This window comes from Homo sapiens, chromosome 2 (assembly GCF_000001405.40).
Source record: "Homo sapiens chromosome 2, GRCh38.p14 Primary Assembly".
Lineage (NCBI taxonomy): Eukaryota > Metazoa > Chordata > Mammalia > Primates > Hominidae > Homo > Homo sapiens.
Window position 1 is genome coordinate 228,505,128 of NC_000002.12, and position 14,168 is coordinate 228,519,295.

General features: G+C 39.0%; 1 long non-coding RNA gene across 1 annotated transcript in view, besides 1 other annotated feature; it reads right to left on the reverse strand.

Moving 5' to 3' along the window:
• The window catches only part of LINC01807 (long intergenic non-protein coding RNA 1807), a 128,137-nt gene that overhangs the window by 21,869 nt on the left and 92,100 nt on the right, over nt 1-14,168 (reverse strand). Inside the window, exon 2 of the long non-coding RNA NR_151716.1 lies at nt 1,200-1,382. This is a non-coding gene — a long non-coding RNA (long intergenic non-protein coding RNA 1807). The remainder of the gene's footprint in view (nt 1-1,199; nt 1,383-14,168) is intronic.
• Nucleotides 2,558-3,210: an enhancer, noted in NCBI's record as "OCT4-NANOG-H3K27ac hESC enhancer chr2:229372401-229373053 (GRCh37/hg19 assembly coordinates)". NCBI's record gives its function as "activates a minimal SCP1, AML or CMV promoter by ChIP-STARR-seq in primed H9 embryonic stem cells {active_cell/tissue: H9 hESC(primed)}" and the evidence as "EXISTENCE:reporter gene assay evidence [ECO:0000049][PMID:30033119]".

A 14,168-nucleotide genomic window follows, 5' to 3' on the forward strand; every position in this document is an offset into this window, starting at 1 on the left:
CACTGTCTAAGGTGGCGATGGTGAATACAGAAACGGTATAATCTTGTTGAGAGTTATTTGGAAGTCAGAGTCACCATGATTTAGTGATAGATTAGAAGTGAGGGTTGAAGGAGTGGGAAGAGTTAAGAGTCACTTTTATATTTCTGGCATGAGCCATGAAGTGAATGGTGGCATTATTTACTGAAATAAGTGATTCTGCAGGGAAAAGAGGAACAGATATTTGGGGAAAGACGTTAGTTTTAGACGCTGAGTTTCAGGTTTCTGAGACTTCTCAGTGGATGCATCTATAAAGTTACCTATGAGCCTAGAATGTAGAAGATAGGTTTGTTCTGAAAAGAAATATTTGGGCCAGGCGCAGTGGCTCATGCCTGTAATCCCAGAACTTTGGGAGGCAGAGGCAGGCAGAACACCTGAGGTCAGGAGTTCAAGACCAGGCTGGCCAACATGGTGAAACCGTGCTCTACTAAAAATACAAAAATTAGCCGGGCATGGTGGTGGGCATCTGTAATCCCAGATACTCGGGGGGAGATATCAAGATACTGAGGCAGGAGAATGAGGAATCGCTTGAACCCGGGAGGCAGAGGTTGAATTGAGCTGAGATCGTGCCACTGTATTCCAGTTTGGGTGATGGGGCGAGACTCTGTCTCAAAAAAAAAAAAAGAAAAGAAAGAAAAGAAGGTAAGTAAAATCATAGGAGCATATGTGCTAAAGTTACTCAGAAAAGATAAAATAAGAAGAGAATAATGCTTAGGGCTGAGCCCTGAAAAATTCCAAACGTTTTAGTGTAAAGGAGGCAGAATTAGAAAAAGGGGCTCAGACACTGGCCAGAGTAAAGTAAGGAAAAAAAAAAAGAAGAAAGTATGTCAAGAAGTGGAGTCTGCTAGTCAATGTCAAAATGTGCCCAAAAATCAGGTTAAATGGAAACTGGAAAGTGTCCATCATACTGACTGGCATGGAGGCCACCTTAGTGAAGCCATACTATGGAAGATGGGGCAAAGCCAGTGGTGGAGGTTAAAATGAACCTGGTCAGTGCGAAGGCAGAAAGTGGACAAAGTGGGTGGAAATATATCTTTAGAGTGCTTAATTGTAAAAGACAGAGTGGCCTTAGGACCATATATTATGAGGTGAGTGAGGCGAGGGTATGGTTGCCACCATGAGTACTTGGTTTTTAAAATGAAAAGCTCGAAATATTTAATTACCTATATGAAGGCTCCAGGGAGGAAGTGTGCACTCATACCGAAGAGACATTAGATGAAGTCTTCATTGGATTGGGAGGATGAAGTTGAAGGTAGATCTGTGTGTTTGGTGACAGGAAGATCTGCCTGTTAGCTTATCTTTTCCCTGGGTTTGGTGTGGGGGTGGTGGGGAAACACAATCTTCTGCTGAAAATGAAGGAGAGGAAGCCATGGTGGAGGAGTGGGTGACACAAGGAAGTTACAGGACATTTGCAATAGATATTCAGAGAAGAGGAATGATCTAACTGAAAAGACTTAATTAAATTGCTAGGGAAGCATTGCGAGCTCAGTTCTTCCTTCCTGTCCTTCTTTCCTCTGCTCCTTATAGCACTGCAATCATTACAAAATTTAGATTACAGAAAACATCTGATAAACTTACACTGGAGTGCAAGAGACTGCTGTGGTGTGTAACTTAGCCTGCTCTTTTGCTCTGATAATTTGTATTTTACTAGGAGTTCATATTATGGGCCCTCTAAAGACTTCCAGTTGTGAAAATATCAGTCAGTCAATCTCTGAGAGAGAAATTTGGGGTGGGCGTGCCGACTAGAGTGTCTGTGGCCCAGGAATTGACACATCACACGGGCAGAAATAGAAGGGGATGCAGCCAGTTATTTGTGTGTCTCTTTCAAGGCCAGGTTTATCTCCAACTATTAACACTTGAATTTTAACTAGTCAATCAGTTTACCTTCTCAGTTACTCAGTAACTCTCAGACTTTCAGTAGCAGTTGGAGAATATTTTGATGTACCAGTGTTGTAACCGAGCGAGTTATAGAGAAACGCCACACTTTGAGACTAATTCAGGGGCCCTTTATTTGCTGGCGACCGAGAGACAGCTGGTGCTCAAAATTCTCTCGGCTCCAAAGAAGGGGCTAGATTTTCTTTTATACTTTGTTTTAGAAAGGGGAGAGGGAGCCTAGCTGAAGCAATCTTACAGAAGCAAAACAGGCAAAAAAGTTAACAAGATATATGGTTACAGAAAAACGAACAGTTCCAGGTGCAGGGGCTTTAAATCCATCACAAGGTGATAGATGCGGGGGCTTTGGGTGCTATCAACTGTACACAAACGTGGGCGCTGTGGGTACTATCAACAGGGCGAATTCCTGGGAACTGTGGATATAGCTTGCCACAGTATCTTATCAGTAATTGCATTCTTGGATGTGCTGGGAGTCAGCTTGCACAAGTTAAGTCCTTGTGGAAGGGGAGTGGGTAAGGGGCTGTAAGTGAAGGAGCCAAAATGGAGTCTCTCTGGCTCTCTCAGCTAAGGGAGAGTCAATTCAGGTTAAAACAAGGTAGGATATCACACCAGTGGGAGGGAGCTAGCAGAAACCTGGAATGTGGGGTACTCTCCAAAATGGACAAATCCTGGTGAAGTTTTGTGGAAGGAGGCCCTAGGAAAGCAGAGAGCATTTTTATGCTAGCGGGGAGAGAGACTTAGAGACTGGAGGGTGCCACAATTTCTGAAGGTCACTCTGAGTTTTATGTGCAGGATGATGTTATTTATTATCTGACTGTTACCATTTCACGTATGACCTCAGGTGTCTGATGAGAGCAATTGTGCTCTCAATTCACATTGGAGTTGGGGTTGCTAATGTAATTCCTTCAAGTGCAATGCAATTGTCATTCTGCCCAATTTGTTCCTGCCAGCTCTCTAAAGGGGAATGCTTATGGCCCTGGGAAGAGCTGACAGGAGGGAGAGGAAGCCTTTTGTCTTGCTGATTTTGTGGAGTAGGCCAAAGTCTGCATTAATCTGAGCAGGCATTTCTCAATCCAGTATCCTCAAATCTGTTTTGAAGGCTGAGTCAGGAGACTGCATGACGGTCAAGGCCAGACACATAATTTGCAAGGCCCAGGGCAAAACAAAATATCGGGTCTCTTACTCAAAAATTACTGTGTTAGGAATTTCAAGGCAGCAACAGTTGAGTTTTAAGCCAAGTGCAGGCCCCATCTGAGTGTGGGGCTCTGTACAACTACACAAGCTACAGAAGCATGAAATTAGCTCTGATGATAGTGTCTGTTATAACTTTGCCCTGGCTTCTAAATGTAGCTTAACTTATCATTAACTTTGACCTTAGGAAGGTCACTTAGCTCATTTAACCTGCAATTCCTCAACTGTAAATTATTAAGCACAAAGATTTATTAAGCATCTATTTTATTCAACTACTGTACTAGTCACTGTTGTATTGCTATGAGCACACACACACACACACACACACACACACAATCATTACCCTGTTGGAACTTATATAGTATCTGAAACAACTGAGAGTAATTTTAAAATTAGTAATTTAACTAAAACTAGGATGAGAGCTACAATAAAGCTACAATAAAGAAGTACTCTGAATTGTGTTATGCATTTATAGATGACCTTTAGGGAATTATAACATGACTTCAGCATAATCAATAGTCAATAGTATTGATAGAGCATAGTTAATAGTTAATAGTAAATCTTCCATTAATAGCATCACTTTACAAATATAATACTTATTTTGTGTTAGGAATATAAAAATTATGCTATACTAACTAAGTGAATACAACTGCCAAATGAGGTAATTGTTATTAATACACTTATTTTGCAAGTGAGAAAAATGAGGAATGGGGTTATTAAATAACTTTTAAAAGACATTACCATGAATGAATGGTAGAGCTGGCTTTGATTTCAAGCCCAGTCTTGCATCCAGACATGAGAGCCTTAAATTAAGCTCCGATATTCCACCTCCTGGGACATAAAAAAATGATTGCATGGTGAAAAATAAAACCAGGCAACTCTCATTAACCCTGGAGAGGAATCTGAAGACCTGGATCTTCTTTGTGTTTTTCCATGGACTGCTTTGTGAGAGAGTCTCCTAAAATTTTGATTCTTGTATTTCATCATTTCTCAGGCAAGGGTCCAGCTTCCCAACATCAGGCTTGATAAAAAAATGTTCCATATCTTATAGCATTTGCAAGGGGAGAAAAGTTGTAAGAAATATAACCACACATTTACTATTATACTTACCTATCTATGATCTATTTACCTATCAATTATCTAGCTACTCACCTACTATCTACGGTTACATAAGTGATAATTTTAGTACTAACTAAATCAGTAGTTTTCTTCAACATATAATTAGTAATTAACTAATTAGCATTTCTTAGTAGATGTTGAAACCTGTCATTTCTCCTTAGGGTTGATTTAGCAGCTCTCCTGGCTTAGATCTTTATTCTAGATTGAATGCTTGATCAGTCCTTGGAAAACTGATACACAGTATCTTGGTAGAGATGTGATTTATAAACATAAATTTTAATTTATTTTCTTTATAATGGAGACCACACTTGCTGTAGATTTTATAGTGTGGGTGACAATCTCTTGAGGTCTCAAAATTGAGTCTGTAAATCTTTGCTCATCTTTAACAATCACGACATCTCATAGGACCAGGAAAATCTGCATGTAGAATGAATTTTTACATTCTAGAGCCTGGCTTTATGAAAGAAGGGAGGTTAAGTAACCTTAACATTATCTATGCGTGGACAGTACTCATAGCCTTCTAGGTTGTCACCACAAAAGAATATGGAGGATGCTGCCTACTTCGTGCCAGGATATACTAAGACTTTTAAAACTCTATTGAGTTCATTGGATGCCTAAAGTGCTACAGATAGCTCCTTAAAGCTGTACAATTTCTTTAATTTATAAAAACTCTGCTGAGTACATTGGATCCCTAAAATGCTACACATAGCTCCTTAAAGTTGTATGATTACTTTAATTTAAATAAGTTCCATGAGACCTATTTGATCAGGTAACATAATTGGACTGAAATCTGAGATTTATACTGTATATTCTTAACAGTTATAGTCCAAGGCAGCTGACTCAAAATCTGCAAAAATTCCAATGAAACATTTCTGTAAAAAAAGAAGTTTGACTTAATAAGAGAAATAAAAATAATTTTAATGTAAATAGAAACTATTGACATTTTGTATTGTAGCTTCTGAATACTGTCAGAATTTGAACCTGAAAATTTCCAAATGAGAGACAATGAAGAGCTTGCTATTGGCCTTTAATTGAGTTGCTCCTATAACTGAAGGACATGAACTAATCCTCAAACTTGAAATACATATAATGTCTTGGTTGATGTCAGAGAAGCATTCTAATGGACAAGACAATGCCAAGAAGAATTCTATGACAAATAGAAATGGTTTGTACAGGAACATGCTACCAGGGGAATGCAAGCAGGTACTCATGAGCATTCAGCTTCCTTTGTCCTGGGGATGACTTTGGAACCAACTGCAGAGCTGCCAGAGCTTATTGCTATTTGTTCAGTGCTCCATGACCAGTTCTCAACTTACCAACAAAAAGCCACATGGTATATGGATGAGTAGCTGCAAAGTGAATGGACAGGATCCTGTTTGAAAGGCCACTGCTCTGGTAGAAGAAGCTAAAAGCAAATCAGATCAGGGGGCGGAATTGCATGCTATTTGTCCCTGTGTTTGTTTTCTAACAAGTCATGGGTAGTATGGTAAGACAAGGGGAAGTTGGCCTATTAAATAGAAGCTTGCATGGAGCTTGGCCCTATGGAAATCACTGTAGGAATTTAGAGGGTGCATTAGACATGTCAATGCCCATCAGAAGAACTTCCTTCCAAGACTAGAAGATGATTAGGACCAGTTAGTAGATATTCTGATGTGCTCCCTGGAAGTGGACATCTTGGTCCACTAAATTAGTGGACATTGGGGGCCCATAGCAATGCTGAAATGAGCTGAATCTAGACATAATTCTCTTCCACACTCTCACAAATAAAATGCCTATAAAATTGTACTATTTGCCATTTGGAGAGACAAAGACTGCAAATGGTGATGGGGGAAGTTCCCTGGGTGGGAAGGCATCACACATAGCTGGTAACTGGGACTGATATTGGTAGCCCTAGGGGCCTACAGATGCGTCCTGGCAGGAGCTTAGAGTAGACTGGGCTTGTCATAGCCAGTGGTAGAGAGAAATTGTCAAAGTACTATAAAAGCACCAGAGCAGAAAATATTGCACCACTTTGAGTCACATTTTTTCAGACTAAGAAGTACACTTTTCAGCCCATAGTGTCCAACAGCGCATAGAGAGATATCCTCCTTAGGGTAAGAGTTTGACATAGACTTGAAAAAGACAAGTGGAACATTTGTTGTCTAAAAGAAAGGGAGATGAGGCAAGGAGGGGTGGCTAACCTGCTTTCGTGAGCCTATGCTTACACTTAACATGAGAGTGGCCAAGGGAAAATTTCCGAAAGATAGATTTCTCCACTTAACTGGAGGATTTAGGAAGGAGTGGGTAGAAAAGAATACTGGTATGACTATTCTTTTTCCTCTTTTCCCCACATCACCTCAACTTCCCCTTTTCTTTCCTGATTTAGTGGTCTCAAGGTCAGGACTGCAATTATAGGTCCAAGAATCAGGAATATCTCTAAGAAAGAGAGTATAACTATATTGTTAAAGCTTTAAGTCGGAATTTGTAAAGGCCTGATGGGGTGAATTGTGTCTTCACCCCATTTGGAAATATTGGAGTTGACAGTAAATGCAGTCAATTGCCCAGTGGTTAAGAAAGCTCACCAGTTCTGTATGTCTATAGCTCTCCCCTATTTAAGTGGAAATGGACTGAACTGGCGGGGGGCACTTGGTAGACTAATAATGCTGTTGGAAATATGGACTAGCACAGCAGTCAAACTTAACATTCCTTCTAAAGGGTGAAAAAGTTTGGATAAAATGATTAAGTGGAGAGAAGGAGGAACACTAGTTGAGGGTAAAGGAATTAATAAAAGAATTATGCACCAAGGGAAATCCAATATTACATTGCCACTCAGAGCAAGAGATAATGTTATCTCTTAGCTCAATGATACCAGATGCCTGAAAGGAGGAAGCCATGTGTTGCCAAGATCATATCTGTTCTCACAATCTGACAAGTTCAAAAGAAAGCTAATGAAACTAAGTGAAATCTCTCTGGGACGTTTTGGTTCTGTGTGATGATGGACTGGACTAATTATTGATGACTAAGTGGGACTCTGGTAATGCATCACTATCTCATTTTTCAAGTCACGTCAACCACACTGTGCCATGATATAACACTGGTGGTGTTGGTAAGATGATAATACCAGTACTGATGGTCAAATGTATTGGAAAAATGAGGTAAAATCCTCCTATCCCCAGAACATACTAGTTTTTGTAAATGTTGGACATTTACAAAATGTCCAACTTGGCTGTAAGAGAGCCAAGTTTAAACCACAAGTTTAGTGGTGCCCCAAACCACCCTCAGTTCTGGTAATTCACTAGAAGTTTTCACAGATCTCATTGAAAGCTATTCTATTCATGGCTATCATATATTACAGAGATAGGGTATGTTAAAACCAGCCAAGGGAAGAGAGAGACACAGGGGACAAGGTATAGGAGAGCTCCAAATGCAAAGTTCTGGTGGCCAGAGTTTTTTGTTAGGCTTGCATTGGCTGGTTTAGCTAAAAGTTTGGCCTTGGAGCCCAGCACAGTGGCTTGTGCCTGTAATCCCAGCTACTTGGGAGGCTAATGTGGGAGGATTATCTGAAACCAGTAGTTCGAGACCAGCCTGGGCAATGTAGTGAGATTCTGTCTCTAAAATAATAATTTTAAAATTAGGTGGGTGAGGTAATGTGCACCTGTGGTTCCAGCTGCTCAGGAGGCTGAGGTGGGAGGATGTCTTGAGCCCAGGAGTTTGAGGCTGTAGTGACTATGATCGCACCATTGTATACTCCAGCCTGGGCAACAAAGTGAGATGCTATCTCTTATTAAAAAAAAAAAAAAGTTTGGTCTTGCCAGTGTGCCAAAGAGGAGGTCAGGCTTTTGCCCTTGGCTTCTGGAAAGTAATGTATATTATATCTGATACATATATCTTTGTATCAGATAGGATGGGGGCTTGCCACACTGGGTCTGAGGATACGGTTGGCCATACCCAACAGTCTCAGGGTAGAGCTGGCCATGTCAGAAAGATTAGCCATGTGATTAGAGTGCAGGGGCTTTGGGTCAAGCAGTATCAGTAACCTAGTTGCTGAGTTGACCATGGGAGTAATCAATCAATCAATTATACCAATACAATAAATCCCTAACAAAAAACTCTGGCCACCAGAACTTTGCAATTGGAGCTCTCCTATACCTTGTCCCCTGTGTCTCTCTCTTCCCTTGGCTGGTTTTAATGTACCCTATCTCTGTAATATATGATAGCCATGAATAGAATAGCTTTCAATGAGATCTGTGAAAACTTCTAGTGAATTACCAGAACTGAGGGTGGTTTGGGGCACCACTAAACTTGTGGTTGATGTCGGAAGTGAGAGAGGTCTTGTGTGGGGACGGTGACCTCAGATTTTACAGCTGTGCTGACTGCGAGTGTAAGAAAAAGATGAAAATAGGAATCTCATAGACAAGAGACATAGTAAACAAGGTCCCAAATGTGATCTGAAAACAAAAGCAGTATATGCCGAAAATGTTGATGCAAAGTTACAAGTATCTTTTAATGAGATAAACACATCTTAATTAAATAAGAAGTAACAAAACACACAAAAATGAATAGTTAAACTCTAATAAACACTAATGCCAACAGGTGATCTGAATATATTTTTTCTAATTTTTAGCGTCTATATTTTCTTTCTTTAGCTTTAAATTTTATTTCATAGCTTATTTATATACAAAATCAAATTTTCAATGGTTTTAATCTTTAAAATAGTTTTTCTAATTTAAATTGTATCTTTGAATTTTTAAAAAGCTTTTCACTTTTGTTTTAAAAATATATTTCATCTTTGAATTATATGTTATATATATATTTCAACATTTTACACAATATTACATAATAAAAATTGCTCATTCTTTTAAAAAATTCTTTTGTCTGTTCCCTTTTAGGATTGTCTGTCTAAAGCTTCAAAAAAAGAAAAAAAATGTATTTCTCGTTGATGTATACAGAAAGGACATCTTGTGATCAGAGAGCCACAGTACTTTGGAACTTGAGTGTTCTTTTTTTTTCCCATATATTTACTATTTGCTTTTGACATTTCCTTGTGCCAAAGAAAGCCTTTTCCACTTTTAATCACCATGATAATTTGGTTTCCTTTCCCATCTCTGTCCACTGGTGTATGCTACACTTAGGCTAAAAAACATATTGCACACCCTTGACTACACTGTAATACTGCACTCAGTACGGACGTGAAGCTCAGCAGGGACATTAAAAGTATCATATGCTGGGATGGTCCTTTCCTTTTTTCTGGTGTTCAGCATCTTTTATAAGGCAGAATTAAGAAAACAGAAACATAAATCATGAAATTTGAATCTCTTGTAATAAAGAAGGCAAGACTGCCTTTGGTCTCAAAAGGTGGAAAAAGTATTTTTTACATTCCTAACCTGCTACCAATGTCTTTTATGAAGCAATTTTCAATGTGAAATGAGACAGGGAAATAGAACCATGAGCTTCCTTGTTTGTGTTTTCTGAGCCCCTGGTGTTAGATTGGGTTTTTCTGAATAGTTTTATAGCCAATTTAGCAGTTTCTCATCTAGGGAGCAAGTTTTTGTTTTGTTTTGTTTTATGGTTAATAAATCCTCAGGATTCGTAGAGTTCGTCTGTAAGAAAATAGCCAACATGCTTGTTCCAGGGGAGTGGTATTAATAGACAATTAGAGAAAATATAAACAAACAGAAAAGTGGACAGATATAAACTGAGGCTTTTAAATATTTTTAGCAATATGATTTTTCTTTTGTACTTTTTTTTCTGCAAACAGAGCATCAACTAATCTCCAGAGCAGTTGTGTTCACAACTGCAAATCAGCATATTTTAAAATAACAAATATACTCATTTACTACATAATATACTCCAGGCAGGAGGCAAAAAGAGATTATTGAAAAGAACTCAAACAGTGTGTACTGAAACAGCTAGTCACAATACGAACAATGTGAGAATCTGTGACAAATATCACAGGGATCTTTCGAAACATCACACAATTTTTAATCATTTCTACATGCCTCAAGGAATTAAGGACTTTGAGAATATCTGAGATCATGCACATGATCTGCCTGGCTTCAGAAAGACACAGTAGGCTAGCACCACAATTCCCCAAATCACACATAATATTGAGTTATTGCCATGTAACTTCTGGGGCTTCTCTCTGTGTGTGTGTGTGTGTGTGTGTGTGTGTGTGTGTCTGTCTGTGTGTGCACATGCTCCAATACTCTACAAAATCTCTAAACACAAGCTCATTTGGTTTGCCATGTAAAAAATATTAGGGGCTGGGCACAGTAGCTCACTGTGTAATCTTAGCACTTTGGGAGGCAGAAGTGGGTGGATTACTTGAGCCCAGGAGTTCCAGATCAGCCTGGGAAACATGGCAAAACCCTGTCTCTCCAGAAAACAACAACAAAAACAACCCAAAAAGACCCGACCAAAACCAATATACACCAATTCACCTGCCATTACTCAGTGCAGCAAATTCCAATATAAACTGACATGCATTCAGGCAAGAAAGTGTTCAGGAAAGTGCAGATTATTAGAAGGGATCACCTGCTAAGAACGCAACAGCATTTTACAGCAACACGGCATCTATAAGTGTGTGAGAACCAGATAATTTTTGAAAAAAAACACAGAAATATAAACGCTAAAAAAGAGTCAGCTCTTCAAGACAATCTTCCAAGCATGCCCAGAATATGAATTTTTCTTCTCAGAAAAAAAAATGTGAGGATCCATGGTTTTCTCCAGTGTGAGTGAAGAAGAAAGGTAAGTAGGGGAAAAAAAAGCTAGAGGGATGGGAAGCAGCTAAATGGGAAGCCCTACTGGTTGAACATGTGCTCTGTGTTTTTGCCAGTAGAGTCTAGGGGGTAAAGGAGTGAGAGGACTCTGTGTGGCAGCATAGCCAATTTAGTGCAGACTTCTCACACAGCAGGAGGTCCTAAACCTCATATCACCAACAGTCCAGGTGGGAGGGTAGCCTTGGAGCTGCAGAGGTTTGTGTGATTTCAACATGGGCTGTACAGGGCTAATGCAGGAAGAAACATTGATTTAAAAATACGTGCTTTTTGCCATTGAGGATTAAACAAATATCTTCTTAGGATGACAAATTGCAAGTAAGAAATTGCAAAGGCAATGGCTGAAAATAAAATAACAATAGTTTCAATTATCAATGGAGAGGAATTGAAACTATAAAGAAGAATTAGGTTTTTCTAAAATAACCAGAAAAGTCTTGCAGTCAGCTAGATGAGAACAAATACTAATACCACTATTACTATTACTCTTTTTGTTGATAATGTATTAGTCTGTTCTCACATTGCTATAAAGAAATATCTGAGACTGAGTAATTTATAAAGAAAAGAGGTTTAATTGGCTCACAGATTTATAGGGTATACAACAAACATGGCAGCATCTGCTCAGCTTCTTGGGCAGCCTCAGGAAACTTATAACCACGGCAGAAGGCTAAGGGGGAGCAGGCATTTTTACATGGCCAGAGCAGGAGAGAAAGGGAGGTGCCACATACTTTTAAACAATCAGATCTTCTGAGAACTCACTCACTATCACAAGAACAGCATCAAAAGGATGGTGCTAAACCATTTATGAGAAGCCCGCCCCCATGAGCCAATGACCTCCCACCAGGTCCCTCCTCCAACACTGGGGATTACATTTCAACATGAGATTTGAGTGGGGACACAGATCCAAACCTTACAAATATACATCTAGAAGGCAACCAATACCATTGAAAATGGAGTCTAGAGTTTGACACAGAAAAGTAGCAATACCAGGCCTCAAGTTAAACAAGGTTAGAAAAGCGAGCTATTTCTTGCGTGATCAGGAAGACAGGAGTTTGGGGATGATTACATTAGATCTTAACTTGACAGTAAATTCTGAGAAAGAGAGACCAGCCTCTGACATCCAGGAAAAATAAGTCTTGGTGTTGTTAAGAGCTGGCCCGGTGCTAACAGCTATATCATGTTGTTCTCCTTTTGGAGATAAATTATTTAACAAAACACCAACATCAGACGAGGTCACTCTGCAACTATGATGAAGTAAGACGCAAAACAAGACCCCATCATAATTTTTTTCTGAGTACAAAAATCAAACAAAAATTTCAGAGTACAAACAAAAAGGTCTCCTAATGGTACAAATCACCAAAATACCAAGTATCAATCTCTCCCAGCTGATATGAGGAACTGCTGTCTCTTTATGATTATGCTATAGCCTTGTTGTAGTCTGTCCTCTTCTAGGTAATATTTACTAAGATGCTCTTCCATAGCATTTTCCGTTTTCTGACAGCATCTAATCTACAACCAATTCTTGGCTTCTTGAACTGTCTCCAAGATGACCTAATGCACTCCAATCTGAATCCCAAGGGCCAATCTGTAACTCCTTATTTAGAAAGGCTCACTCTCTCACTGAGATGCCCCAAGTTATTCCATGATGTGGAGTCTCTCTCACTGCAAGAAATAAGAAACCCATCTTGTTGACTCCAGGTGTGTTCCAGGTGGTCTTTGTCTAGAGGTGCATAGTTGACTGTCCTGCACTAAACCTTGTGTGTAGCCCTTAGAGTGAGGAAGATGGTACCATCCAGTATGGAGGTATCACTTGTGAAAGGGAATTTTTTTCCTGCGCTGCTGTTAAGACAGCCTAGCATATAGCAAGTCTTCAATATATCTTTGTAAAAAGAATGAAGTAGCTTTCAGTCAACTGGCGTTCCCAGAATGTAAATAATTTGAAAGTGCTCAGCAAGGAGCCAGACACATACAGTGCATACAACTAACAATAACTCTTATTTCAATTGGGCTTAATTCATCTATAGTTGTACAGATATGTAGGTTAACTGTACTCTATACTTAAGTAGAGTTGACACAATCATTTGCTTTTAATCTCTGCAATCAACTACTTTATATCCAAAATTTCAAGTCCTTCAACTCCTCAACTCTTTCAACACATTGCAAAATTGTGCTTCAGTGCTGGGAGTTTCAGCTCTTTTTATACAGCTCCAATCATATCATCCTACTCAGTATTTCCTTATTTATTTATTTATTTTTTTATTTTTAGAGACAAAGTTTCACCATGTTGGCTAGGCTGGTCTTGAACTCCTGACCTCAGGTGATCTACCCGCCTCAGCCTCTCAGAGTGCTGGGATTACAGGCATGAGTCACTGTGCCCAGCCTCATCTTACTGAGTATTTTCTAACCATTTAGGATTCTGTGTCATTAAACTCACTTTTCTTTGCACTTGAAATTGCCTTTATCCTCTTCTTGGTTAGGCTAAAGTAATCCTATTTATAATTGCCTTGTCTGCTTAAAGTAGAATAAATGCTTTCCTTTCCTTAAAGTAGAATAAAGCATTCCTGCTTCTCTGCACTGAGAACAATATATTTATATTTATTTCCGTATCACTAAACATGCTGTATTATGGCTGTTTTGTGACAATTTATCACTCTCTGCCATGCCAAGTTCATATAGAAGGTAGTGAATCTACTCACTTTTCTATCTCTAGAAGTTTGGTGTCATGTTTATGTTAAATACATGATAAATAAATAAATTTGTGGCCTCCCTTATTTTTAACTTCTACTCTATATACTACCTGCTTCCTCAAACATTTAATAATTCCCCTGTTGCAGAATGAAATCTATACCTCTTTACCTAAAATCCAAGTTTATGTAAAATGTTACCTTTAATCGTTTTTAATTGATGTATTCCCTTACTTCTCTAGATGGACAATTTAATTCTATGCAATTGGGTTCAGCATATTGACTTAGTCTTTATTCCCTTTTTTCACTCAGAATGTTTTCTCCTCCTTCTACCTAGGTAAGACCTACTCACTCTAAACTCCTGAATAAATTACTAATTGTAACATTAATTGGTATAATGAATGGTGACTTTCCTATTGGTATATTACCAGTTAGTGTCTCTTGAATCCCAAGGGCGTTACACATTGTAGATACTTAATACATGGCTGATGGA